Source organism: Homo sapiens, chromosome 2 (assembly GCF_000001405.40).
Source record: "Homo sapiens chromosome 2, GRCh38.p14 Primary Assembly".
In the NCBI taxonomy this organism is placed as follows: domain Eukaryota; kingdom Metazoa; phylum Chordata; class Mammalia; order Primates; family Hominidae; genus Homo; species Homo sapiens.
This window is the reverse complement of record NC_000002.12, coordinates 131,081,355-131,108,235: the sequence shown is the minus strand read 5'-3', so window position 1 is coordinate 131,108,235 and position 26,881 is coordinate 131,081,355. Positions and strand designations below refer to the sequence as shown.

The 26,881-nt window shown below is 47.2% G+C and overlaps 2 protein-coding genes across 32 annotated transcripts in view, besides 4 other annotated features; one reads left to right on the top strand and one right to left on the bottom strand.

The window, feature by feature from the left end:
* The window catches only part of PLEKHB2 (pleckstrin homology domain containing B2), a 44,510-nt gene extending 41,610 nt beyond the window's left edge, over positions 1-2,900 (bottom strand). For all 20 annotated transcript variants that reach the window (NM_001309452.2, XM_011511385.4, NM_001267065.2 and 17 more), the window contains exon 1: positions 2,838-2,900. The gene's annotated coding sequence lies outside the window, so the exon portion shown is untranslated. The remainder of the gene's footprint in view (positions 1-2,837) is intronic.
* Positions 3,047-3,176: an enhancer, noted in NCBI's record as "active region_16531". NCBI's record gives its function as "activates an Ori minimal core promoter by ATAC-STARR-seq in GM12878 lymphoblastoid cells {active_cell/tissue: GM12878}" and the evidence as "EXISTENCE:reporter gene assay evidence [ECO:0000049][PMID:35858748]".
* Positions 9,024-9,524: an enhancer, noted in NCBI's record as "H3K4me1 hESC enhancer chr2:131856285-131856785 (GRCh37/hg19 assembly coordinates)". NCBI's record gives its function as "activates a minimal SCP1, AML or CMV promoter by ChIP-STARR-seq in naive H9 embryonic stem cells {active_cell/tissue: H9 hESC(naive)}" and the evidence as "EXISTENCE:reporter gene assay evidence [ECO:0000049][PMID:30033119]".
* Positions 10,158-10,329: a silencer, noted in NCBI's record as "fragment chr2:131855480-131855651 (GRCh37/hg19 assembly coordinates)". NCBI's record gives its function as "represses an EF-1alpha promoter that drives an FKBP-Casp9 reporter gene in an ReSE screen in HepG2 liver carcinoma cells {active_cell/tissue: HepG2}" and the evidence as "EXISTENCE:reporter gene assay evidence [ECO:0000049][PMID:32094911]".
* Positions 14,603-15,322: a silencer, noted in NCBI's record as "silent region_11964". NCBI's record gives its function as "represses an Ori minimal core promoter by ATAC-STARR-seq in GM12878 lymphoblastoid cells {active_cell/tissue: GM12878}" and the evidence as "EXISTENCE:reporter gene assay evidence [ECO:0000049][PMID:35858748]".
* FAM168B (family with sequence similarity 168 member B) overlaps positions 14,776-26,881 on the top strand; it is a 45,585-nt gene continuing 33,479 nt past the window's right edge. The window contains exons 1-4 of one of the 12 annotated variants that reach the window (NM_001321743.1): positions 14,776-15,022; positions 16,273-16,427; positions 18,900-19,193; positions 25,579-25,659. In NM_001321743.1, the coding sequence (NP_001308672.1) occupies positions 25,590-25,659 (70 nt within the window). In that variant the 5' untranslated portion in view covers positions 14,776-15,022; positions 16,273-16,427; positions 18,900-19,193; positions 25,579-25,589. Of the gene's footprint in view, positions 15,023-15,073; positions 15,586-16,272; positions 16,428-18,899; positions 19,274-25,578; positions 25,660-26,881 lie in introns of those variants that run through there. The other 11 variants (XM_017003327.2, XM_047443337.1, XM_047443336.1 and 8 more) reach the window with 11 other exon arrangements.

The following is a 26,881-nucleotide window of genomic DNA, read 5'->3' as shown; positions in this document are numbered from 1 at the left end:
AAATTTGAATTTGTATCTCTTTGAAAGCATTGAATCGAAACAGACAACAGATGGACAAAAAATACTGCCTTTGGAATCTGACAGTTCTAAGCCTGAAGCCTACTTTGCCTTCTACTCACTAGTATGACCTTCAGCAAAATTCTAAACCTCTCTAAGCCTCAGTTTTCTTACCTGTATGACCAGGCACAACCAATTACGTCATGGGGTTACTGTGACAATTAAAGGAGGTATGTCCAAACAGCCCTGTAGTAGATGGTCCAAAAGTGAGAATTGGCCAGGCGCGTTGGCTCACGCCTATAATCCCAACACTTTGGGAGGCCAAGGCAGGCGGATCACCTGAGGTCAGGAGTTCGAGACCAGCCTGACCAACATAGTGAAACCCCATCTCTATTAAAAATACAAAAAATTAGCCGAGCATGGTGGCGCACGCCTGTAATCCCAGCTATTTGGGGGGCAGAGGCAGGGGACTCCCTTGAACCCGGGAAGCGGAGGTTGCAGTGAGCCGAGACTGCGCCATCGCACTCCAGCCTAAGCAACAGGAGTGAAACTCCGTCTCAAAAAAATAAAAAATAAAAAAGTGAGAACTGCTACAATTACATTACTATTTTGTTCCAAAAGCTAGAATTCAGGTTTAACTGTCTACAACTCCTCATGATATCCCAGTTCTCCAGCTCTCTTTCGCTATAAAAGTGGCTTCCTTATGAAAAAGGAAGAAAACTCATCTCTGTTCTTCAAGGGCAACAGTGGAGAGTCAAAGAGATGTCACAGGTACATTCTGAAACAGAAGGGAAAGAAGGTTGGGTGACCCATCAACATGTAGAGGTCAGTTCCCACGTGGCATTGGCCATTTCCAGTTGGGAACCACTTCTTAACAACAAGCCTAATACAAGCACCATCAAAGGGCAGACAGGCAAAGAAAGCAAAGAGGCAAGGAAGTCCAACTTTCCGTTTCCATGATCCACTGTGGAAGCAAATATATAACTAACAAAACAACTGGGTCAATTAGCCCCCACTTTGGGAGCATTTTTAACAGTGTGTTTTGCAGTTTTTGGTAGTTACTGTTATTAATAAGGTAATTCTTTAATTTCTTTAGACAAACAGTAAGAAGGCAGGCAGAGGAAAGGAGAAACAAAAATATTAATGCAAGCTGAAAAGCATAAGCAAAGCTTTCAGAAAGAGCTGAGAGAAACCTCCACCTTCCCAAGGAGTAACACCACAAGAGTATCTGTCCTCTCTATACCACTGCTGTACACATTTAATCAACTCAGTCCTTGAGAATAGCAGGAAATTTACTTACAGAATGTACCACCGCCTTTAAAATATAATGCTAGCAAAGAACCGCTGTCAGGTTCTGAGTTCTTTTCTGCAGCCTTCTTCAATAAGCATTTACTGACCACCTACAAAGTGCCAAACACTATGCTGTTTATTAGGGAAACCCTGCAACACAGTTTGATTCCTGTCCTCAGGGAGATCAGTACGAATAGGGAAGAGTCGAGTAAAGAGATCACCACCACAGAGAGTAAACACCAGGCACAAAGGAAGCCCAGACAAGCTCCAGTCCTATCAATATCCAGCCAACCAGCCCAGGGTTAGGAACTTTCTGAACCTAGGGAACACTCCTGAGCACCACAATTGAACCGTCACAGCAGTATTCCCACACCCCCACAGGTCCTTAGGCAGACACACCCACTGCATGGGCACAGACGCACAGCTGTGTCTGTGCATACATGTTTTGGTCATTAGTTTAGTCAACAAATACTGAGGGCCACACTAAACAGGCAGTTACCAGTGCCAGCTCGGGTCCTAATTCCTCATGTGACTTCGGACAAGTCACTTCCTGAATTGGTACTGGTTCATACCAAAGGCCACAGAAGACCTTGGAATATTCCTCCCCTCAGCTGTCAGCCCTCCTCCCTCGGTGGTGGTTCCACCCTTTCCTAAGCACTAAAAATTTAAAGGCTGAGACCATGAGTCAGTATTATTTTGAATTAACCATGTTCCTTTAATTTTTTACAGTGACCACTCCACCTCATTCCTTTCCTCCACCCACCCTGAACCGGTCTACATTTGAGATTTAAGCGGGGTGGCGGGGCGGGGATCCCTATGCAAATCCCTGACCTCCGGAGTTTTCAATCTAGTTGAGTAACAGAATCAAACATGAAGAGAGATATGTAAGATAAGGTACACCAAGCACTTATGACTAAAGACATTGCAAGGCCAAGAGCAGGTGAAATGCAGCGGGGGCGGACCGCACCGCGAGGGTAAAGCCTCAACGCCCCCCGGGACTTAAGGAGGGGAGACCTCTGGGCAGGAGAACTGAGAAGGCAAGTTCCCTGGAGCAGAGGGAGCAGCAGGGGTAGAGATCGGACGCCGGGAGACCCCAGGCGGCGGGCCGCAGCAGGTCCCGGCAGTCAGACATGTGGGACACTCCCGAGCGGCCAGAAAGGATGCAAGGCGGAGGCTGCAGTCGGGAAAGGAGGAGGGTCCGCGGGGCCGGAGAGGAGGGGCTCGGGGAAAGGACCGGAGGCGGACGCCGGGGAAGCGATGGGAAGGGGTCTGAGAGGCCGGGGGGGCCCACTGGGAGGGCTCTCGAATGGGCTGCTCTAGGGGAGACTGAGAGGGCGGACCTGGGGAAGGTCAGGGTGGTCCAGGGAGGTGGGCGGACCCGTGGCCAGGAGCCTCAGGGAAAATTAGGGAGTGGGGACACCGCGGAGGTGGCGCGGTGCGGGGTCCCCTCAGAGGGGCGCGAGGCTGGGCAGCTCTAGAGGAGAATCTGGAGAGGCGCGGGCCAGAGGGGAAAGGAGCTAGGGTCGTCCGGACTAAACAGGGACACTCACCTGCGAACCAGCGTGGAGAACACCAAGACGCCACGGCGATTCCTCGCCTGCTCGCCTGCAACTGCCGCACGTCCGGCGTCCTGGCCGCCGTTCTGACGTCACGCCTCGGCGCGCATGCGCGGCGGGCCCCGGCCGGTGGGGCGGGGTGTCTGGGTGGTTTTCTGAGAAACGGGACGGAAGGCGGCAGGGGGCGTGGGTCTCCCAGGAGGTCGGCGCTTCCACTAAAAGGAAGTGTTACAAAGTGAGATCCTGTCTTAAAAATATAAAAATTTAAAAAAAAATTGTTAGCACCCTAATCTTGGTTTCTAAATACCGCTCTCTAAAAATAGGGCCAAGGCGCCTTAGAGAAATGGGCGACTCTAGGACCCGGGCGCAGAAAGCTCCAGCTGAGCCGGGAGCGTTTTGTAGGCCAGAAGCTTGAGGTGCTCAAAAAACTGAAGGACCGGGCGTCCAAGGGCGCAGGGATCTACCCAGAGAGCTTCCGGGGGCCGCGCCTGGGACAATTTGAGCAGCAATATAAAGTACATTGCATTAAGTTATAACCTAAAGTATAAAACAGCCCAGAGCCCGTGCTGCTATAAATACGTGATTAAATAAATGAGGGAGAAGGGATAATCTTCCTTGCAGAGGAATTCTAATAATACCTCATCCAGAGGGGTGTGGTAATCCGTCCACACCCACCCTGAGTGTGGCCTATGCCTGGGGACGACCTTTCCAAGAGTACAGTGTGGAAAGAGGGCTGTAGAGCCACTCCACGTGAAAATCAAAGTGATTAGTCACTGCACTTGCCCTTGACATGTGATTAAAAAAAAAACCGTGACCTCAGTCTAACTGAAAGATAAACATCAGACAAATCTCGTTTGTGGGATATTCCTCAAAACACCTCACCAGTACTCCTCAAACTATCAAGGTAATCAAAAGCAAGAAAAAAACTGAGACACTGTCATATGCAACATGGTGATGTAGCTAGGCTATAAACTTAAAATAAAATTTAAGTTTAGGTAATAGTAGTTTTTAGTTATAAGAAATGTATAATGGTTATGTAAGATGTTAACATTAGGAGAAATTGTGTGAAGGGTATACTAGCTTTATAACTTTTTTGTAGTCTAAAATTATTCCAGATGAAAAGTTGGGGGTTTTCTGAAGACAATAGAGGGAAAATAAATGTTAGCCAGGTGAGATGGTTCATGCCAGTAATCCCAGAGCTTTGCGAGCCAGAGGCAGGAGGATTGCTTGAGCCCAGAAGTTTGACCTGCAATCAAGCCACTGCGTTCCAGCCTAGCAGGGGTTGGGGGGTGGTGTAGGGGTACTGCCTGGAAAGAGGCTTGAGAGAGCCTCCTGGCAACCCCACTCCTAGGGTGCTGAAAATGTTCTATACATTGATCTGAGTGGTGGGTACGTGTGTGTAAGTAAAACTTTATCAAGCTGAACACTATACTTAACATTTGTACATTTTTGGCCGGGCACAGTGGCTCACGCCTGTAATCCCAGCACTTTGGGAGGCCGAGGCAGGCAGATCACGAGGTCAGGAGTTTGAGACCAGCCTGACCAACGTGGTGAAACACCGTCCATACTAAAAATACAAAAAAAAATTAGTCAGGCCTGGTGGTGCGCTTGTAATCCCAGATACTCAGAGACTAAAAATACAAAAATTAGCCAGGCGTGGTGGCGGGCGCCGGTAGTCCCAGCTACTTGGGAGGCTGAGGCAGGAAAATGGTGTGAACCCGGGAGGCAGACGTTGCACTGAGCCGAGATCACGCCACTGCACTCCAGCCTAGGCGACAGAGAGACTCCATCTAAAAAAAAAAAAAAAAAAAAAAAAGATTTGTACATTTTTCTGTGTATAAATTATATCTAAATTTAAAAGGGAAAAACTCTTAAAAAAAATATTGGAAGAGCCCTATTATTATTGGTCTTCAAAACCCCAAACTCTGCCAATCAGGGCCCCTGTCTTAACCCAGCTCCTCTCTGGGGAAAATTTAAAAAATGCAGGGTAGGGAGTCCTATGATGCCTGCAATCCCATCTTTTGCAAGATATTATAGCTTAGTCAACACAAGAGTTCAGAGATTTGTGTGACATGGGGTTCTTCCTGGTTCCGCTGCTTCTGGATGAGCTCGGGTAAATTGCCTGACATCAACAAGCTTCTTGACCAGCCCTCATTAAGGCTATACTAGCCCTGACCACCTTCAGGGTCAGTCTTAGGGACCTTTCAGGGTCTGAGTTTGGAGTATCCAAAAATACACTAACACATTCTCTCTGAGTGATGGGACTGTGGATGACATTTCTTTTTTCTACTTTTCTGCATTTTCCAAGTTTTCTTTCATGAATATGTATCACTTCAACAACAGGAAAAAGTAATATTTAAGGCTGGGTGTGATGGCTCACGTCTATAATCCCAGCACTTTGGGAGGCCAAGACAGGAGAATTACTTGAGCCCAGGAGTTCAAGACCAGCTTGGGCAACACAGTGGGACACTTTCTCTACAAAAAAATAAAAATAAAAAAATTAGACTGGCATGGTGGCATGCATCTGTAGTCCCAGCTACTTGAGAGGCTGAGAGGGAAGCTTCACTAGAATCCGGGAGGTCAAGGGTGCAGTGAGCCATGATTGTGTCACTGCACTCCAGGTTGAGCAAAAGAATGAGACCCTGCCTCAAAATAATAATAATTTTTTTTTTGAGATGGAGTCTCACTGTCACCCAGGCTGGTGGACAGTGGCACCATCTAGGCTCACTGCAACCTCCGCCTCCTGGGTTCAAGCAATTATTCTGCCTCAGCCTCCTGAGTAGCTGGGAATACAGGTGTGCGCCCCCACACCCAGCTATTTATTTTGTATTTTTAGTAGAGACAGGGTTTCATCATGTTGGCCAGGCTGGTCTCAAACTCCCGACCTCGTGATCCACCTGCCTCGGCCTCCCAAAATGCTGGGATTACAGGCGTAAGCCACTGCACCCAGACAAAAAAAAAGTAATATTTTAATAAAGTTCAGTTTAAGTAGGCGTTCCAGTACCTGGAGGAGGGAGTGTCCCATAACAAGTTTTCTGATTCAGTAAAACTGGCTTTCTGGGCTGGGCGTGGTGGCTCACGCCTGTAATCCTAGCACTTTGGGAGGTCGAGGCATGCAGATCGCTCGAGGTCCAGAGTTCGAGACCAGCCTGGCCAACGTGGTGAAACCCCATCTCTACTAAAAATACAAAATAATTAGCCAGGCGTGGTGGCGGGCACCTGTAATCCCAGCTACTTGGGAGGCTGAGGCAGGAGAATAGCTTGAACCCAGGAGGCGGAGGTTGCAGTGAGCTGAGATTGTGCCACTGCACTCCAGCCTGGGCGACTGAGTGAAACTCCAACTCAGAAAAAAAAAAAAAAAAAAGAAAGAAAAGAAAAACTGGCTTCCTGTTCATGTTTATTGAGAAGAGGCCAGGGGAAAGAAGGCTGGGTGCAGGTGAGGACGCCTGCTTTCCAGCCCCCTATCTGAATGTGCAGCCTCTTGTCTGAAACTGAGAGGGAGAAGTCCAAGAGTTCAAAGAGTTGCATTGGGACTCTGTACCCATCAGTCACCTGTCTCTGTGGCCCTCAACTGGCTCAAACCAAATTACCTGCTGCTAAGCCCCACTCCATTTCTTGCCCAGTTACTAGTATGCGTTTCTTTATTGAAGAAAATAAAGTGAGAAGTTCTGGTGGTTAAAAAAGAAATTCCAGGCCAGGCACATTAGCTCACACCTGAAATCCCAACATTTGGAAGGCCGAGGCAGGAGGATCACTTGAGGCCAAAAGTTCAAGACCAACCTGGACAACATAGTAAAACAAAATATACAAAAACATAAGTAAATTTAAAAAAAAAACTCCAAATAGAACATGAAGTAAAATACCATGTCTCCCCTGCTACACCCCACATAATTGGGAATGTGGAGCTTCCAAGGAATAGGAGATAACAGGCACTCTTCCTTTACTTTTTCTTTCTTTGTGTTTTTTTTTTTTTTTTTTGAGACGGAGTCTCGCTCTGTCGCCCAGGCTGGAGGGCAGTGGCGGGATCTCGGCTCACTGCAAGCCCCACCTCCCAGGATCACGCCATTCTCCTGCCTCAGCCTCCCAAGTAGCTGGGACTACAGGCACCCGCCACCACGCCCGGCTAATTTTTTGTATTTTTAGTAGAGACGGAGTTTCACCATGTTAGCCAGGATGGTCTCCATCTCCTGACCTCGTGATCCGCCCGCCTCAGCCTCCCAAATTGCTGTGATTACAGGCGTGAGCCACAGCGCCCGGCCGAAATTTTTTATATGTATAAAAGTAGCCAGGGTGGAACAGTAGGATTTCAGCTGCCCCACAATGTTTACCAACACCCAGGTCCATCCCAAACAGACACACAGCACTAGGGAGAAGAGCAGGGGCAAGCAATGCAGAGTGCAGCGCAGGAAGCCGTTCCAGCATGCTGGCTGCACCTTTGCTTCTCCTATACGGAAACTTTGTAACTGCTTTTTGGGGTGGGAAACAATGAGTTTTTGCATGCCTAAATTTTACTTCATTTTGCCCTCAACATCTACTAAGAAGCCATGGCTTTCTTCAGACAGTGGAATCCATTTCTTTCTTTCTTTTTTTTATTTTTTTGAGACGGAGTTTCACTCTTGTTGCCCAGGCTGGAGTGCAATGGCTCGATCTTGGCTCACCACAACCTCCGCCTCCCAGGTTCAAGCGATTCTCCTGCCTCGGCCTCCCAAGCAGCTGATACTACAAGCACCCACCACGACACCCGACTAATTTTGTATTTTTAGTAGAGACGGGGTTTCTCCAGGTTGGTCAGGCTGGTCTCGAACTCCCAACCTCAGGTGATCCGCCTGCCCCGGCCTCCCAAAGTGCTGGAATTACAGGCATGAGCCACCACGCCCGGCCAAAGACAGTGGAATCCATTTCTTTTGAGGATAGTAGTTGGGGTTTTGCCCACTATAAACAGGAAGCTGCCCATGTACACAAGAATGGAGAAATAAAAAGGGGCACAGCTGTGGTACAGGCAGCCTTGCAGTTAATGTCCTTGTTTACAGGTCTGTTTCTCTCCCCCTTCACTCCCTGCTTTGGATTGCAGCCTTTTCTGCCTATTTCAACCATCCACAGGAAAGTGAGTGCCCTTTCTCCTCCAGCCCACCTGAGCCTCTACTGCTACTTCAGTTTGGAGTGTTTCTTGTTTACTGTTGAACATCTGTCACCTATTTCACAGGCATCTATGGAGGGACAAAATGAGTTCTTGGCCTCCCATTTTGAATCCGAAGCCCTCAACCCCAAATACTTTGTTTTTTGTTTGTTTGTTTGTTTGTTTGTTTGCTTTTGAGATGGAGTCTCGCTCTGTCACCCAGGCTGCAGTGTAGTGGAGTGATCTCGGCTCACTGAAACCTCCGCCTCCCAGGTTCCAGCAATTCTCCTGCCTCAGCCTCCTGAGTAGCTGAGACTACAGGCACACGCCACCACACCTGGCTAATTTTTGTATTTTTTGGTAGAGATGGGGTTTCACCATATTGTCCAGGCTGGTCTCAAACTACTGACCTTGTGATCTGCCTGCCTCAGCCTCCTAATGTGTTGGAATTACAGGCGTGAGCCACTGCGCCTGGCCTTTCTGTTTTTTATTTCTTGAGACACGGTCTCACTCTGTTGCACAAGCTAGGGTGCGGTGGCATGACCACAGCTCACTGCAGCCTTGAACTCCAGGGCTCAAGTGATCCTCTTACCTCAGTCTCCAGAGTAGCTGGGACTACAGTGTGTGCCACCACACCCAACTAATTGTTTTTAAATTTAATTTTAACTTTTTTTTTTTTTTTTTGAGACAGAGTCTCACTCTGTCGCCCAGGCTAGAGTGCAGTGGCACGATATTGGCTCACTGTAAGCTCCGCCTTCCGGGTTCACGCCATTCTCCTGCCTCAGCCTCCGGAGTAGCTGCGACTACAGGCGCCCGCCACCACGCCCGGCTAATTTTTTGTATTTTAAGCAGAGACGGGGTTTCACTGTGTTAGCCAGGATGGTTTTGATCTCCTGACCTCGTGTTCCACCCGCCTTGGCCTCCCAAAGTGCTGGGATTATAGGCGTGAGCCACTGCGCGCGGCCTAGTAATTTTAATTTTTTTAAATAGAGACACGGTCTCATTATATTGCTCAGGCTGGTCTTCAACTCCTGGACTCAAGTGATCCTCCTGCCTCGGCCTCCCAAGGTGCTGGGATTACAGGCATGAGCCACCACACTCAGCCCTCAACTAATTTTTTTATTTTTTGTAGAGATGATTGGTGGGGGGGTCTCCATATATTGCCCAGGTTGGTCTCAAACTAACTGAAGGGAGAGAGCCAGGAAGGCCAGCAGCATGGTGCTATACAGCATGTCCACAGGCAGGTATAATAGATGCAAGGAGCCTCAAGGGCACATAATAAAGTCATTAGGAAGGAATGCATTTTGGGTTTTTTTGTTGTTGTTTGTTTGAGACAAGCCTCGCTCTGTCGCTCAGGCTGGAGTGCAGTGGTGCGATCTCGGCTCACTGCAAGCTCCACCTCCCGGGTTCACGCTATTCTCCTGCCTCAGCCTCCCAAGTAGCTGGGACTACAGGCACCCACCACCACGCCCAGCTAATTTTTTTGTATTTTTAGTAGAGACGGGGTTTCACCGTGTTAGCCAGGATGGTCTCGATCTCCTGACCTCATGAGCCGCCCGCCTCGGCCTCCCAAAGTGCTGGGATTACAGGAGTGAGCCACCGTGCCCGGCCTGCATTTTGTTTTTGTCGTTGTAGTTTTGTTTGTTTGTTTGTTTTTTGAGACAGAGTCTCGCCCTGTTGCCCAGGCTGGAGTGCAATGGCGCGATCTTGTCTGACTGCAAGCTCCGCCTCCCGGCTTCAAGGGATTCTCCTGCCTCAGCCTCCGGAGTAGCTGAGATTACAGGCACCTGCCACCACGCCTAATTTTTTGTATTTTTAGTAGAGATCGGGTTTCACCATGTTGGCCAGGCTGGTCTCGAACTGCTGACCTTGTGATCTGCCCACCTCGGCCTCCCAAAGTACTGGGATTACAGGCGTGAGCCACCGCACCCGGCAGGAATGCATTTTGATCATATATTCCCTTTGTTTTTAATATTAAATTTACACAGTATAATTTTTAATATTGGCTGCGTTTCACAGATGGCTTACAGAATTCCTGGAAATTTGTCCTTTGGCTTACACTAGTGGCCCCAGCATATCCCTGAGCTTGTTTAGCTGTTCTTTTGATGATAGATGCATGAATGCTTTCCTGTTTGAGGTTATTATCAATAAAATTGTAATGAACATTTCTGTACAAGTCTTTGCATGGATATATGATTGCAATTCTCTTTGGTACAATTTGCTGAGTGATGAGATAGATGTGTAGTTTTTTGTTGTTTGTTTTTGGTTTTGTTTTGTTTTGTTTTTTGAGATGGAGTCTCACTCTGCTGCCCAGGCTGGAGTGGAGTGGCATGATCTCGGCTCACTGCCACCTCTGTCTCCCAGATACAATCGATTCTCCACCCTCAGCCTCCCGAGTAACTGGGATTACAGGTGCCCACCACCATGCCCAGCTAATTTTTGTATTTTTATCAGAGATGGGGATTCACCATATTGGCCAGGCTGGTCTCGAATTCTTGACCTGTGTTTTAAGACAGAGACTTGCTTTGTCACCCAGGCTGGAGTGCAGTAGCATCATCATAGCTCACTGCAGTCTCCAACCCCTGGGCTTGACAATCCTCTCACCTTACTTGCCCCCTGCCAGTAGCTGGGACTGCAGAGTGCACCACCACATCCAGCTAATTTTTGTTTTGTTTTTTTGAGACGGAGTCTTGCTGTTCTGTGTCGCCCAGGCTAGAGTGCAGTGGTGTGATCTCGGCTCACTGCAACCTCTCCCTCTCAGATTCGAGCGATTCTTCTGCCTCAGCCTCCCCAGTAGTGGGGACTACAGGCACCCGCCACCATGCCTGGCTAATTTTTGTATTATTAGTAGAGACGGGTTTCACCATGTTGGCCAGGCTGGTCTTGAACTCCTGACCTCAGGTGATCCACCCACCTCCGCCTCCCAAAGTGCTGGAATTATAGTTGTGAGCCGCCGCACCCGGCCTGTGTGTGTGTGTGTGTGTGTGTGTGTGTGTGTGTGTATATATATGTTTTTTTTTTTTTTTTTTTTTTTTTGTAGAAAAGGGGCTCTTGATATATTACCCAAGGTGATCTTGAACTCTTGGGCTCAAACAATCCACCCGCCTTGGTCTCCCAAAGTGTTGGAATTATAGGCTTACAGGCATAAGACACTGCACCTGGCTGATGTTTGCTTGTTTGTTTATTTATTTGTTTTGAGACAGTCTCCCTCTGTCACCCAGGCTGGAGTGCAGTGGCGTGATCTCGGCTCACTACAACCTCTGCCTCCCGGGTTCAAGCAATGCTCCTGCCTCAGCCTCCTGAGTAACTGGGATTACAGGTGCCCACCACAACGCCCGGCTAATTTTTGTATTTTTAGTAGAGACGAGGTTTCACCATGTTGGCCAGGCTGGTCTGGAACTCCTGACCTCAAGTGATCTGCATGCCTCAGCCTCCCAAACTGCTAGGATTACAGGCTTCAGCAACCACACCAGGCCAGATGTTTAGTTTCACAAGAAATGATTAGAACTTTATCCAAAGTGATTATACCATTTTGTACTCCCATCAGAAATATATATATTTTAAATTATTACTATTTTTTGAGACGGAGTCCCACTCTGTTGCCAGGCTGGAGTGCAGTGGTGCGATCTTGGCTCACTGCAACCTCCGCCTCCTGGGTTTAAGCGATTCTCCTGCCTCAGCCTCCCCAGTAGCTGGGACTGCAGGCGCGCCCCACCACGTCCAGCTAATTTTTGTATTTTTAGTAGAGACGAGGTTTCACCATGTTGGCCAGGATGGTCACAATCTCTTTTTTTTTTTTTTTGAGCCAGAGTCTCGCTCTGTCACCCAGGCTGGAGTGCAGTAGTGTGATCTCGGCTCACTGCAACCTCCGCCTCCCGGGTTCAAGCAATTCTCCTGCCTCAGCCTCCCCAGTAGCTGGGACTATAGGCACGTGCCATCATGCCTGGCTAATTTTTTTGTATTTTTAGTAGAGACGGGTTCACCATGTTAGCCAGGATGGTCTTGATCTCCTGACCTCGTGATCAGCCTGCCTCAATCTCCCAAAGTGCTGGGATTACAGGCGTGAGCCACCACGCCTGGCCAAGATTTTTATTTATTTTTAATTTAATTTTAGAGTAGGTAATGTATTCACGTGGTTCAAAAATTAAAAAAAAAAAAAAACCCAAACATGAAAATTATCTTTCTCACCTCTGTCCCCTATCTGCTCAGAGCCCACTTTTTCCCAGTCTCACCACAGATAATCATTGCTGGTAGATTTTTGGCTATTTTTTGGTATTTCTGTAAATATGACAATATTCTGTAAATGTAAGTAAATACAGATATATTTTTTCATTTCTACCTTTTTACATAACATTCTTTTTTTTTATTTTTTATTTTTTGAGACGGAGTTTCGCTCTCGTTGCCCAGGCTGGAGTGCAATGGGGCAATCTCGGCTCACTGCAACCTCCGCCTCCTGGGTTCAAGCAATTCTTCTGCCTCAGCCTCCCGAGTAGCTGGGATTACAGGCATGTACCACCACGCCTGGCTAATTTTGTATTTTTAGTAGAGACGGGGTTTTCCCATGTTGAGGCTGGTCTCGAACTCCTGACCTCAGGTGATCCACCCGCCTCGGCCTCCTAAAGTGCTGGGATTACAGGCGTGAGCCACCGTGCCCGGCTTTACATACTATTCTTACACAGAGTTCCATACCTTGGTTTTTTTTCATTGAATAGTCTACCTTGGAGATATTTTCATTTCAGTACATACAAAGTTTCCCCATTTCTTTTTCAAGTTATAGGCTATTTCACTGCATGATGAACCAGAGTTTACTCAGTCATTTCCCTAGGTGTGGACACTAGGGTTTGTTTCCAGTATTTTGCTACTATGCACAATGCTGCAATTAATAGGTGTGAACTCATTTTATTTCACACATCTATAAGTATCTCTGTAGGCAAACTCCCAGAAGTGCAGCTGTTGAATGAAACATTGTTTGTGCGTTTATTTTGACACACATCATCAGACGATCCCCTTTCCCATCCAGCAATGTCTGAGAGTGCGAGCTTCCTGGCAGCCTTACCAATAGCATTGTCAATTTTTTGGATGTTTGCCAATCACAGTGAAAACTGCTACCTCAAAGAGTTTTAACTTGCATTTTTCTTTATAGAAGTGAGATTGGATATTTTTCATATGACTAACAGCCAGACTTAGTCCTTTGCTGTGAACTCTCCTTTTTCTATTGGGTGGTAGGGCTTTTTATTGTTGACTTCTGGAAGCTTTTGGAATATTAAAGAGATTAGCTTTGTCTATTACATGTGTTGGGACTATTTCTTCCTTGTTAATCATTTATCTTTTGACTTTGCTTATGGTGCTTTTTGCCGACCAAAGCTTTTCATAGTCATGACTTCTGGATTTCAAGTAATAATGTAGAAAAGCCTTCTTTACTCCAATACTAAAAAGGAATTTCCCCATGTTTTCTTCTTGTCCTTTTATCACATTTATATTTTATTTTTATTTTTTTTTTTGAGACGGAGTCTTCCTCTGTCGCCCAGGCTGGAGTGCAGTGGCCCGATCTCGGCTCACTGCAACCTCCGCCTCCCGGGTTCAAGAGATTCTCCTGCCTCAGCCTCCAGAGCAGCTAAGGTTACAGATGTGCGCCACCACGCGCAGCTAATTTTTGTATTTTTAGTAGAGACGCGGTTTCACTATGTTGGCCAGGCTGGTCTTGAACTCCTGACCTCGTGATCTGCCCGCCTCGGCCTCCTATAAGTGCCGGGATTAAAGGCGTGAGACACCGCGCCCATCTGTTTTTATTTCATAAACGACTGAAAAAAGACCAGAGCCAGGCCTCCTCCCTTCCATCACTAATCTTTATTGCAATAACTCCCTCCTTTGTCGTCCTGTACCTAGCTCAGACCAGACGACACCCCAAACACAAACACCAAGACACGCACCTCTTTAATACGAAATAATAAACATACCTCCCCCAGAGAGACACCCTGAACTAACCAAATCATTGTAACTATACACTAAGCCTTACATAAAAATACTAACATTTGGCCGGGTGCGGTGGCTCACACTTGTAATCCCAGCACTTTGGGAGGCCAACGTGGGTGGATCACCTGAGGTCACGGGTTCGAGACTAGCCTGACCAACATGGTGAAACCCCCGTCTCTACTAACACAAAAATTAGCCAGGTGTGGTGGCGGGCGCCTGGAATCTCAATTACTCAGGAGGCTGAGGCAGGAGAATCGCTTGAACCCGGGAAGCGGAGGTTGCAGTGAGCCAAGATCGCGCCATTGTACTCCAGCCTGGGTGACAAGAGCGAAACTCCGTCTCAAAAAAAAACCAAAAAACCCCCTAACATTCTAGTACACTTCCCTGAACTCTTGTCTATAGAAATGATCCCGCACTTCTACACTTGAAACGCTGACTTGCATTCTCTAAAATCTGCACTCCTGAGCGGGCGCCCGCAGCCTCCGCACTGGCAAAGAATCTGTGAGCTGAGCTCCGCCCCGCTCCGACCCCGTAGTGGCGGTCACCCGGGGTGTGCTCGACTCCCGGGTGCGGCCTGAGGATCCGCGCCCTGGCGTCTGGGCACACACAAAGGTTTCTGCGGCGCGGGACTATCTCAAAATATAAATTAAATACTTTTTTCACAGACAGTTAATAAAAAAACTACAGCTACACCCGGCCCTTTCGCCAACTGGGACCGGCCCACTCCGCGCTCGCGCTCGCGCTCGTCCATCCGGGCGTCTCGAGGGCGCCGGCGGGAGCGAGCACGCTGCGCAGTCACGTGCCCGGCGCGCCCCCGTCGCGGCGCGCTCAGGCGGAAGTGAGGTCGGCGGCTCCGGTGGCTGCGCAGCGTCGGCGGGGAGCGCGGGCTGCGGAGAGGCGGGCCGGGCCAAGCGGAGCCGAGCGAGCGGGAGCGCGGCGTCCGGGAGGCGGCGGAGACGCGGGGCTCGGAGGGTCAGCCTCTTATCGTAGCAGGTCTCCTCGGCACGCCCCCCTTGTTTCGCCCCACGGCCAAGCCCGCCGCGGGCCGGCGTGCGCTGGTCACTGAGGCCCAGGTCGCCGCCGCGGCGCGGTGAGTGGGGGCGGGCAGCGGGCGACTGCGCGTCCAGGCCGGAAGTGCGGCGCTTTGTGCGGCCGGCTCGGGGCGGCGCCAAGGTCGGCCCGCGGCTCGGGGTCGCTGGGCGTCTGGACCGGCCTGGGCTGCGCTTTGTGCCGCGGGCAAGGCCGGGCGGGGGCCGGGGGCGGAGCTCGGCCGGACACGTACGCGTGCAGGTGCGGTCCGGGCGGCGCGGGCCTGCCGCCTAGGTGGCCGAGGTGGCTTCGCGGCGCGGGGCGTTCTCCTAAAGGTCGGGGTCACAGCCGTCAGGAATGCGAGCGTGAAACCCGGGGGCAGAGCTTTGTGACAATAGTCATTTCCAATGTGTAACTGCTCACTTTGTCTACCCACGAAGTAAAGATAATTTTTATTTTTATTTTTTTGCTTGGCGGAATCTGAGCGTTCTCCTTCCAGCTTGAAAAGGCACGATTTAAATTACAGATTTTTAAGATTTCCTTCAGAAAGGACGTTTCGTGGCCTAGCCTGGGTTAACTTTGAAAAAAGAGTGCAGTGCGCCTTTACGACGTCCACAAATAAGGGTATTTCTGTTTTATAGTGTATGTGAACATGAAGTGTGCATCTCATGGGCTGTTTGAGTTAATGTTTAATCATTAAAGTCAAACAAGAATATTTTGCAGTGTTTTCGCATGCAAGGAAGCTTTATAAATAAAAAGGTTTATATAGTTTCCACTCCTTAAACTTTCAGGTCATCCTTGTGTAATTTGAGATCACTTTTCTCAAATACTATGGATGAAAGATTCTAGATTAAATAAAACTTTTTGGTTTTGGCAAAAACAGGACACATTTTTAAGCTCTTGTAGATGAAGGAGTGGGTTATTTTTGCTTTGACAGCCAAGATTTGAGCAGTGTAAGGCTATTCTAATTTTGAAGCTAGTGTTGCAGAAATTGTGAAGATCTTGCTTCTCTTTGTCTTTACAAAGCAGGCTTACTTTGGTGGAGTTCCGTAGTTTAAAGGGAAATTATACCCAAGTTGTCTTAGACAGTTTCTTTTCCTGGATCAATTGAGCACTTTTTTTTTTTTTTTTGAGACGGAGTCTCCCTCTGTTTCCCAGACTGGAGTGCAGTGGCGCCATCTCGGCTCACTGCAAGCTCCGCCTCCCGGATTCACGTCAGTCTTTTGCCTCAGCCTCCCAAGTAGCTGGGACTGCAGGCGCCCGCCACCACGCCTGGCTAATTTTTTTGTATTTGTTTTTTTTTTTTTTTAGTAGAGACGAGGTTTCACCGTGTTAGCCAGGATGGTCCCAATCTCCTGACCTCGTGATCCGCCCGCCTCGACCTTCCAAAGTGCTGGGATTACAGACGTGAGCCACCGCGCCTGGCCGAGCACAATTTTAAAAGAACAGTACACCAGCGTAATAGAGTAATAGTTTTTTCATGCCTTGTGTCCAGTCTGTTAAGTCTGTCTGATTGTACTGTGCAGAAATACATGAATTCCTCCCAGTAAAATGCAAACCCAAACCTTGGTAATGAAGGTAAAGTTTGGGGGAGAGAACTTCTTTTCTTTTTTCTTTTTTTTTTTTGTGAGACGGAGTGTCGCTCTGTCGCCCAGGCTGGAGTGCAATGGCGTGATCTCGGCTCACTGCAACCTCCGCCTCCCGGGCTCAAGGGATTCTCCTGTCTCAGCCTCCCGAGTAGCTGGGATTACAGGCACACACCACTGCGCCCAGCTAATTTTTTGTATTTTTAGTAGAGACGGGGTTTTACCATGTTGCCCAGTCTGGTCTTGAACTCCTGACCTCAGGTGGTCCACCTACGTCGGCCTCCCAAAGTGCTGGAGACACCACCGCGCTCGGCCTATATGCTTTATTTTTTATTTATTCATTTATTTTTTTGAGACAGTTTTGTTCTGTCGCCCAGGCTGGAGTGCAGTGGAGTGATCTCGGCTCACTGCAACCTCCTCCTCCCGGGTTCAAGTGATTCTCCTGCCTCAGCCTCCGGAGTAGCTGAGATTACAGGCACATGCCACCCTGCCCAGGTAATGTTTGTGTTTTTAGTAGAGATGGGGTCTCATCTCACTATGTTGGCCAGGCTGGTCTCGAACTCTTGACCTCAAGTGATCCACCCGCGTTGGCCTCCCAGAGTGCTGGGATTACAGGCGTGAGCCACCGTATCCAGCTTCTTTTTTAAAAATATATTTTTGTCCAGGTGTGGTGGCTCACGCCTGTAATGCCTGCACTTTGGGAGGCTGAGGCTGGCATATCACGAGGTCAGGTGATCAAAACCATCCTGGATAACATGGTGAAACCCCATCTCTACTAAAAATACCAAAATATTAGCCGGGCATGGTGGCAGGCAACTGTAGTCCCAGCCACTGGGGGAGGCTGAGGCAGGAGAATGGTGTGAACCCGGGAGGTGGAGCTTGCAGTGAGCCGAGATTGTGCCACTGCCCTCCAGCCTGGGCAACAAAGCGAGACTCCATCTCAAACAAAAAATTTGTATATATTATACATATATATGTTCATTTTGTAGAGATGGGAGTCTCACTATATCGCCCAGGCTGATCTCAAACTTCTGGGCTCAAGCAGTCCTCCTGCCCCAGCCTCCCAAAGCACTGGTGTTACAGGCACTTGCCACCAAGTCTACAAGCTCTTGTTGATGTTGCCAGACATTACTGAGAATTTCCAATGTTGATTTTTCTGAGTATTGTATCTTGTATATTGGTGTTTCTGAGAGTGAATCTAAACCTCTTAAAATTAGATTTGTTGATATAAAATTTTAAAGGCCTCGTGTTATAGTATTTCATACTTAGTGCTCTGTGTGGAACTTTGTTTAGAGATGGTATGTTTCCAAACCAGGAAACAATAGTATATAGTGATAGGTCTTTCTTTCTTTTTTTTTTTTTTTTTTTTGAGACAAGAGTCTCGCTTTGTCGCCCAGGCTGGAGTGCAGTGGCACGGTCTGGGCTCATTGCAAGCTCAGCCTCCTGGGTTCACGCCATTCTCCAGCCTCAGCCTCCTGAGTAGCTGGGTACAGGCGCCTGCCACCGTGCCTGGATAATTTTTTTTTTTTTTTTTTTTGTATTTTTGGTAGAGACGGGGTTTCACTGTGGTCTCGATCTCCTGACCTCGTGATCCGCCCTCGTCGGCCTCCCGAAGTGCTGGGATTACAGGCGTGAGCCACTGCGCCGGCCTCTTTTTTTGAGATGGAGCGTCCATGTCGCCCAGGCTGGAGTGCAGTGGTATGATCTCGGCTCACTGAAACCTCTGCCTCCTGGGTTCAAGTGATTCTCCTGCCTCGGCCTCCCAAGTAGCTGGGACTACAGGTGTGCACCACCACCGCTGGCTAATTTTTGTATTTTTAGTAGAGACGGGGTTTCACCATGTTGGCCAGGCTGGTCTGGAATTCCTGACCTCGTGATCTGCCCACCTTGGCCTCCCAAAGTGCTGGGATTACAGGCGTGAGCCACCATGCCCAGCCAGGTCTTTCTTTTTTCTTTCTTTTTTTTTTTTTTGAGATGGAGTCTCGCTCTGTTGCCCAGACTGGAGTGCAGTGGCGCCATCTCGGCTCATTGCAAGCTCCGCCTTCCGGGTTCACACCATTCTCCTGCCTCAGCCTCCCCAAGTAGTTGTGAGTGGCTAATTTTCTTTTTGTATTTTTTTTTAGTAGAGACAGGTTTCACCGTGTTAGCCAGGATGGTCTCGATCTCCTGACCTTGTGATCCACCCGCCTTGGCCTCCCAAAGTGCTGGGATTACAGGCGTGAGCCACTGCGCCTGGCCAGGTCTTTCATTTTAAAGATAGAGTTTTCTTCTGATTATGATTTGATTTTCAAGTTAGGAATTTTTGCTGTCATCTTTTTAAAGGTAATCTGACATTTGTCTATTCTAATGCAGGTGTCAAACCACCCATAAGAATTCTGACAGTTGAGTCATTTCAAATGGGAAACTAAAAATGTGGTAAGCTCGGCCCGGTGCAGTGGCTCACGCCTGTAATCCCAGCACTTTGGGAGGCCAAGACTGGCGGATCACCTGAGGTCGGAAGTTCGAGACCAACCTGACCAACGTGGAGAAACCCCGTCTCTACTAAAAATACAAAATTAGCTGGGTGTGGTGGCACATGCCTGTAATCCCAGCTACTCAGGAGGCTGAGACAGGAGAATCGCTTGAACCTGGGAGTCAGAAGTTGCGGTGAGCTGAGATCGCGCCATTGCACTCCAGCCTGGGCAACAAAAGTGAAAACTCTGTCTCAAAAAAAAAAAAAAAAAGTGGTACGCTCTAGATCCAGCCTTGGGTTTGGGTTTCTTAGTCCACAGCAAATTAGACTGGAAAGTTGGTGGTTGCAGGGAGATTTTAGTAGCACTAACATTTCAGGTAGATTGGTGATGGTGTGTTTTTTCTTTAGTTTTGCATTATGCAGAATTGAAAATGCGGCAGTACAGTGCATAACCTTATATGCAACATCTTGATGTAAAGATTATTAGCATTTACATAATTTCTACTTGATGTAGAGATTATTTGCTCTTTTTGTAGAAATATTTTAAAGTATAGATGTATCATTTTCGACTTTATATACTTTATTGTATCTTTACAAATTTATGTAACTATACATAATCACAGTACTGTTACCAGGATTAAACATAATTGTTTCATACCAGCTGATACCCAGTATTCAGTCGTGTCCCAGATATCTTTAAACTCTGTTTACAGTTGTTTCAGTCTAAATCGAGTCCAAACAAAATTCAGCTATTGCTTTTATGTCTATATCTATTTTAATTTAGAATTATCTGGCCTTCCTCCTCTCCCGCCCCCTTTTCCCCCCACCATTGCCTTATTGAAGAAACTGGGTCATTTGTCCTCTGGAATGTCCCACTTTTGGGGTTTGTCTGATTGTTTCATGGTGTCATTCAGCATATTCCCTCCTACTCCTGCGTTTCTTGTAAACTGGAAGTTAGATGTAAAGGCTCCATTTGATTTTTTTTTCCCCCCAGACAGAGTCTTGCTCTGTTGCCCCATCTGGAGTGCAGTGGTGCGATTTCAGCTCACTGCAGCCTCTACCTCCCAGGTTGAAGCGGTTCTCATGCCTTAGCCTCCCGAGTAGCTGGGATTACAGGTGTGTGCCACCACGCCCAGCTAATTTTTGTATTTTTAGCAGAGACTGGGTTTCACCATGTTGCCCAGGCTGGTCTCGAACGCGTGGTCTCAAGTGATCCGCCCTCATCGGCCTCCCAAAGTGCTGGGATTACAGGGATGAGCCACTGCAACCAGCCAAGTAGAGTTTTATTATTATTGGTCTAGGCTATAAGTCAGGTCATTATGGAAGGAGAGCCTCCTAACATCCTTCAGTACTTCATTTGAATTTGCAGTTTTTGGCTGTTAGGAATAATGCTGTTACAAATGTTCATGTCCAACTGTAGGTGTAGCATGTGTTTTCACTTCTCTTGGGTATGTACCTAGGAGTGGAATTGTGGGGTCATGTGGTAACTCTGTTTACCTCAGAGTTGCTCAGGAGCTTCTTTGCCTACCAGAGGACATCTCCACTCAGGCCTGTATTTAAGGGTCTCCACTTGGTGGTTGTACCTAAGCTGTGTCTCCACAATCATCTATTACTGATTCCCTACATAGAGCCTAAGCTCCAAACAAACTCAGTTGCTTAATGTTCTTAAAATGCATCTTGCTTGTTCTCATTTCTGAGGCTGATTTGATCCTATCCATTGTTTATTGGAAATGCTGCCCTTTAATTATTATTATTACTATTTTTTGAGACGGAGTCTTGCTCTGTTGCCCAGGCTGGAGTGCAGTGGCACGATCTCAGCTCACTGCAACCTCTGCCTCCCAGATTCAAGTGATTCTCCTGCGTCAGCCTCCTGTGTAGCTGGGATTACAGGTGCCTGCCAACACACCTGGCTAATTTTTGTTGTATTTTTAGTAGAGATGGGGTTTCACCATGTTGGCTAGGCTGGTCTCCAACTCCTGACCTCAAGTGATCCTCCCACCTTGGCCTCCAAAAGTACTGGGATTACAGGCATGAGCCGCTGTGCCTGGCCTAACGCTGCCCTTTAATCAAGTTTTTCCTATTTCTTCCCTCCTCCACAGAATTTTTGCTCTCCCCTCTCAGCCCTCAGAACACTTTATTCTCTTGTGACTCTTTTTTTTTTTTTTTTTTTTTTGAGACGGAGTCTCGCTGTCGCCCAGGCTGGAGTGCAGTGGCGCAATCTCGGCTCACTGCAGGCTCCGCCCCCTGGGGTTCACACCATTCTCCTGCCTCAGCCTCCCGAGTAGCTGGGACTACAGGCGCCCGCCACCTCGCCCGGCTAATTTTTTGTATTTTTAGTAGAGACGGGGTTTCACCGTGTTAGCCAGGATGGTCTCGATCTCCTGACCTCGTGATCCGCCCGCCTCGGCCTCCCAAAGTGCTGGGATTACAGGCGTGAGCCACCGCGCCCGGCCTTTCTCTTGTGACTCTTAACACTTGTTGCCTTGTATCAGAAAGTATTCATACTTTTAATCTTATTATGTATATGTTTGCACTGTCCAATACGATGGCTGTCACCTACATAGGACTGTTGAAGTTAATTAAACTAAAAATTCACTTACCATATTTGGATAGTACAGACAGGCTTTCATCTTTGTTTTTGAGATAGGGTCTTGCTCCATTGTCTAGGCTGGACTGCAGTGATAACGATCATAGCTCACTGCAGCCTCGAACTCCTGGACTCAATTGATCTCAAGTAGCTGGGACCACAGGTGTGCACCACCGCATCCAGCTGATCTTTTTACTTTTTGTAGAGACAGGGTCTTGCCATATTGCCAGGGCTCGTTTCCATCTTTGTGAACAGTTCTGTTGGACAGCGCTTTTCCAGATTGTAAAACTCAGAAGAGATTGTGACTTGCCATTTTGTTTTCTCTGTGGCCTTTGTGTAGTGCTTTGCTTATCTGGAATTCAATTAAGAAATAAAAATTAGTAGCTCCTGGCACAGAAGAAAGAAATAACATTTGGGAAATATTTGCTTCTTGAGAGATGATAGTTGAACCAGAGAAGTAGGTGAAGTATTTGCAGACCCCCACAATTTCTTGGTTGCAGATCCGCCAAGCATGGGTTAAAAGTACAGGGGACTAGGGATTGGCAGTTGCTAGTATGTTTATTCCTAAACTGTAGGGTAAGACACACAATTGATTCTCCTGCCTACCTGCTATGCCTTTGTATACTTGTTTCCTCCCTACTCTGAACTGTAGGCCTGCACTGTCCAGTATAGTAACCACTAGCCACATGTGACTACTTATGTTGAAGTTAAATAAAGCTAAAAGATCAATCTCACAGTAGCCTCATTTAGCCTTACTTTTCAGATGCTCAGCACTCTTGGCAGGCGGCTGCTGTAGGGGACAGCACAGATGGAGAAGGATGTGGTCATTGTACAAAGTTTTGTTGGTCAGTGCTGGTCAAGACCTATCACGTAGCTGTAGTTGTGAATGGCATGACAAATCTGGCATTTGGATTTGGTTTAGAAGTTTAAAAAAATTAGACAGTTCAGGTAATGAATGTTTTAGTTACTAAAGTTGCCAGTTTATTCCTGATTTAATCCAGAACTTCCTGTTACAGAGGCTAAGGATGTGACCTAATATTTTCTTCTTACTACAGGATTGCTTGGTTGTGAATATTCTAAATGAGACAAATGAGCTGAAAATTTGAAGTGGTTTCTTTTTGTATTTTGTCTTCGTAATGGATTTTGACACCTAGAGTGTTCTGAAAGGCATTTGTTTTTTAGAAAGTCGGTAGGTAGTTGCAGCTATTTTGTACCAGATGTTGTTATTGATGCTGGAGATATTGCCTTTAAACAGAACCAAGTGCAACTGTTCCCTGCTTGTTTTGGCTACATTCTAAATGGGGATGTGGGGAAGACAGACATAAAATGCACATTTTGTGTTTTGTTACTTATTACATGTTTTTCAGAGATGGAACCTTATTATATTGCCCAGGCTGGTCTTGAACTCCTGGCCTCAAGCGATCCTCCCACAGTGCTGGGAATACAGGCATGAGCCATTGTACTCAGCCTAAAAATAGACTTTTTTTTAGGTCTAGCAGTTTTAGGTTCACAGCAAAATTGAGCAGAAGGTACAGAGAGTTCCCATATACCCCCCTACCCCCACACATGCTGTTTTAATCTTAAAGATCACCTTAATCTTTATAACCACATACGTCAGTGAGTGATTTACCAGATGAGGAATAGTGAAAGCTTACACTTTAATACACTGCATTTTAGGAGGCCAAGGCGGGAGGATCACTTGAACTCAGGAGTTCAAGACCAAACTGAGTGACGTAGTGAAACTCTGTCTCTACTAAAAATGAGCCAGACGTGGCGATGCACACCTGTAGTCCTGGCTACTCTGGAGGCTGAGGTGGGAAGATCACTTAAGCTTGGGTGATCAAGTCTGCAGTGAGCTATGACTGGCAGAGCGAGACCACGTCTAAAAAATAAATAAAAGTAAATAATACCCTGGATAAGATTCAGAGGAGCTTACTAGAGAGCTGAATGGGAATCAGTTCCCAACAGTACTTCTGTTGGGGAGGGGTAGAGTCCTGGTTGTGGCTGTGCAAGTTCTTGAACTTGTCAGGAAAAAGAAAGATCCATGGATGATAAAACATTGAATGGATTCATAGAGGTGCTGGGCTGTAACCAGTTAGTCTTTCTTAGGAAAAAAAACTTAACAAGTTTTTGAAGAAATACAGGAAACTAGAGTGGCATGGTGGCACACACCTGTAGTCCCATCTACTCGGGAAGCTGAGGTGGGTGGATATCTTGAGCCCAGCAGTCTGAAACCAGCCTGGGCAACATGATGGAACCTCATCTCTATTTAAAAAAAAAAAAATACAAAACTTAGCCAGATGTGGTGGCACCACACCTGTAGTCCCAGCTCCTAGGGAGGCTGAGGTGGGATAATCACTTGAACCCAGGAGGTCAAGGTTGCAGTGAGCTGAGATTGTGCCACTGCACTCCAGCCTGGGCAACAGAGCAAGACCCTGTCTTGGGGTGGGGTGGGGGGGGCGGAGGGGAGAAATACAGTCCCAGCACTTTGAGAGGCTGAGGTGGGCGGATCACGAGGTCAAGAGATGAGACCATCCTGGCCAACATGGTGAAACCCCGTCTCTACTAAAAATACAAAAATTAGCTGGGTGTGGTGGCGCACGCCTGTAGTCCCTGCTATGCGGGAGGCTGAGGCAGGAGAATCACTTAAACCTGGGAGGCAAAGTTGCAGTGAGCTGAGATCATGCCACTGCACTCCAGCCTAGCGACAGAGCGAGACTCCGTCTGGGAAAATAAATAAATAAATAAATAAATAAATAAATAAATAAATAAATACAGGAAATTGCAAAAGGACCACTAAATCCACTCCCATCTAGAGTCAATCACTGTTCATATTTTTATATATTTCTTTTCAGACTTTTTTTCTGTTTGTGCCAGGGATGCACATTTTTATACACATAGGTGTTTATATGGGATCATACTGTGTAATGCAGGATGCAGTATAATACTCTACTTTGTTTTCACTTAACATTGTATTATTCTGTTTTTAAACATTTCTTGAAAAGCAGCTGCGTGATATTTCATGTTCTGGATATGTCTTGGTTAACTTAACTATCCTCTGTTAGAAGAACATTTTGGTTACTTGTAGGGTTTTCCCCATGTTTTTTTTGCGACAAAGTCTCGCTCTGTTGTCCAGGTTGGAGTGCAATGGCATGAGCTTGGCTCACTGCTAATCTCCACCTCCTGGATTCAAGTGATTCTTGTGCCTCAGCCTCCCAAGTAGCTGGGATTACAGGTGTGCGTCACCACACTTGGCTAATTTTTGTTTGTTTTTGTTTTGTTTTGTTTTGTTTTTTTGAGACGGAGTCTCGCTCTGTCGCCAGGCTGGAGTGCAGTGGTGCAATATTGGCTCACTGCAACCTCCGACTACCTGGTTCAAGCGATTCTCCTGCCTTAGCGTTCTGAGTAGCTGGGATTACAGGCACGCGCCACCACACCCAGCTAATTTTTGTATTTTTAGTAGAGACGGAGTTTGACCATGTTGGCCAGGATGGTCTTGGTCTCCTGACCTCATGATTCCTCCACCTCAGCCTCCCGAAGTGCTAAGATTACAGGCACGAGCCACCATGCCTGGCCAATTTTTGTATTTTTAGTAGAGATGGGGTTTCACCATGTTGGCCAGGCTGGTCTCAAACTCCTGACCTCAGGTGATCTGCCCACCTCGGCCTCCCAAAGTGCTGGGATTACAGGAGTGCACCACCGTACCTGGCCTTTCCCCTTGCTTTTAGTGGACATATAGCTAACAATTTTTACTCCTTAGCTTCTGATGGACTGAGGAGAATTGTGAAAAAAAGTTTATCATGCCCTGGTTTGGCACCCATTAGGACATCGAGTGTCCCTTTTCTGTTCTTCGCTGGTTGGGGGCAGCATGAAATGCATTGTTTTATAGCAGCCTAGAGAAAGGACTCTAGCTACCTGCTTTTTGGGGACTGGTACTGGAGAAAAATCTGAGAGCAAAAGTGCTTGGCTAAATTCCCTTTTTTTTCTTTTAGTTTTTGAAATCATGAATCCTGTTTATAGTCCTGGATCTTCTGGGGTTCCCTATGCAAATGCCAAAGGAATTGGTTATCCAGGTAAGTAAGTAAAATTTTGTTTTCATTTTTGAACTTTGAATACTTGGTATATTTTCATGTCACTAAGAATGCTTTCTATTGACAAACGCAGCTCAAAGTGGCTTAGACAAGAAAGAAAATACCTGGAAGTGAAAAATCAAATGATAGGACTGGATTTGGTCAAAACTTGATCTAGTGGCTCCAGCAGTTGGGACCAGGATCTAGTTTCTCTACCTCCTGGTCTCAGCTTCGCTTCCTCAGTATTAACTTAGTGTTGGTCACAGGTCCCACTCCTTCTCATTGTGGTCTCTGAAGTTCAGGCCCCTCCCAGTAGTCCCTCACTAAGAGCCTCTTTACCTCCACTCTACAGGAAAGCCTGATGGGACTGCTTGTTCTCTATTCAAACCAGTCCTGGGCTTTGTTCTGATTAAACTCAGCATCCATCCCTGGGCCACAAAGGGGAGTCTGCTGATTGACTTAGGCCTGATCCACATCCCTTTAGTGGAGTCAGCTAGTCAAATATGGACTGCAAGTGAGGGTTGCAGCGAAATGGATATTGAGGGGATAGGAGCTGGTTGGTCAAAAATAGCAAATGGTTGTTCCCTTCGGTGACTTTGCACAAGGAGTAGTTATTTATAATGATACAGTTTCATTTTGGGTTTTGATAATATGGTAGAAGAGATAACCCCAAAACTTTGTTGCTAAGACTCTCAGAAAGTGAAATAAAACATTTTACAAATGTATAACTGAACTTGCAGGAGGTAAGAGAGATATCTGGGGTCAAATGTGAAGGCCATGTTAAACCCAGCTAACTTGGCCTTTGAACTAATGTCGTGCCTGTCCTGGGCACATGTGCTATTTGTGGGTTTTAACAACCCACATGGGGATAGAGATTGAGTATTAGGACCCTTGCGACAGGGAATGAGAGTGAGACTTCTTATCAGTCATTCTCGTCCCTCTGGAGGGTGATACTCTCAGCAAAGAGATAGACTAAACAGTCTAGTCGTCCAGTGGCCCCATAAGGAAGTTTATATGCTTGGGCTCTGAGAAGCGGGAGATCTTTACTAAGACTTTGTAAGCATTCAGAGATGTTTGGGGCTCTAGCTTGTATTATACTCCCCAGGGGTTCAGAAGTTGAGAAATTAACGTAAAAATAGTCTCCAGGCTTGGTTACTCCTGGGGCTCCTGACAGCAGCGAATGCAGAACTGCTGTGGGGGCATATGTTCACAACCCAGGTTGCGT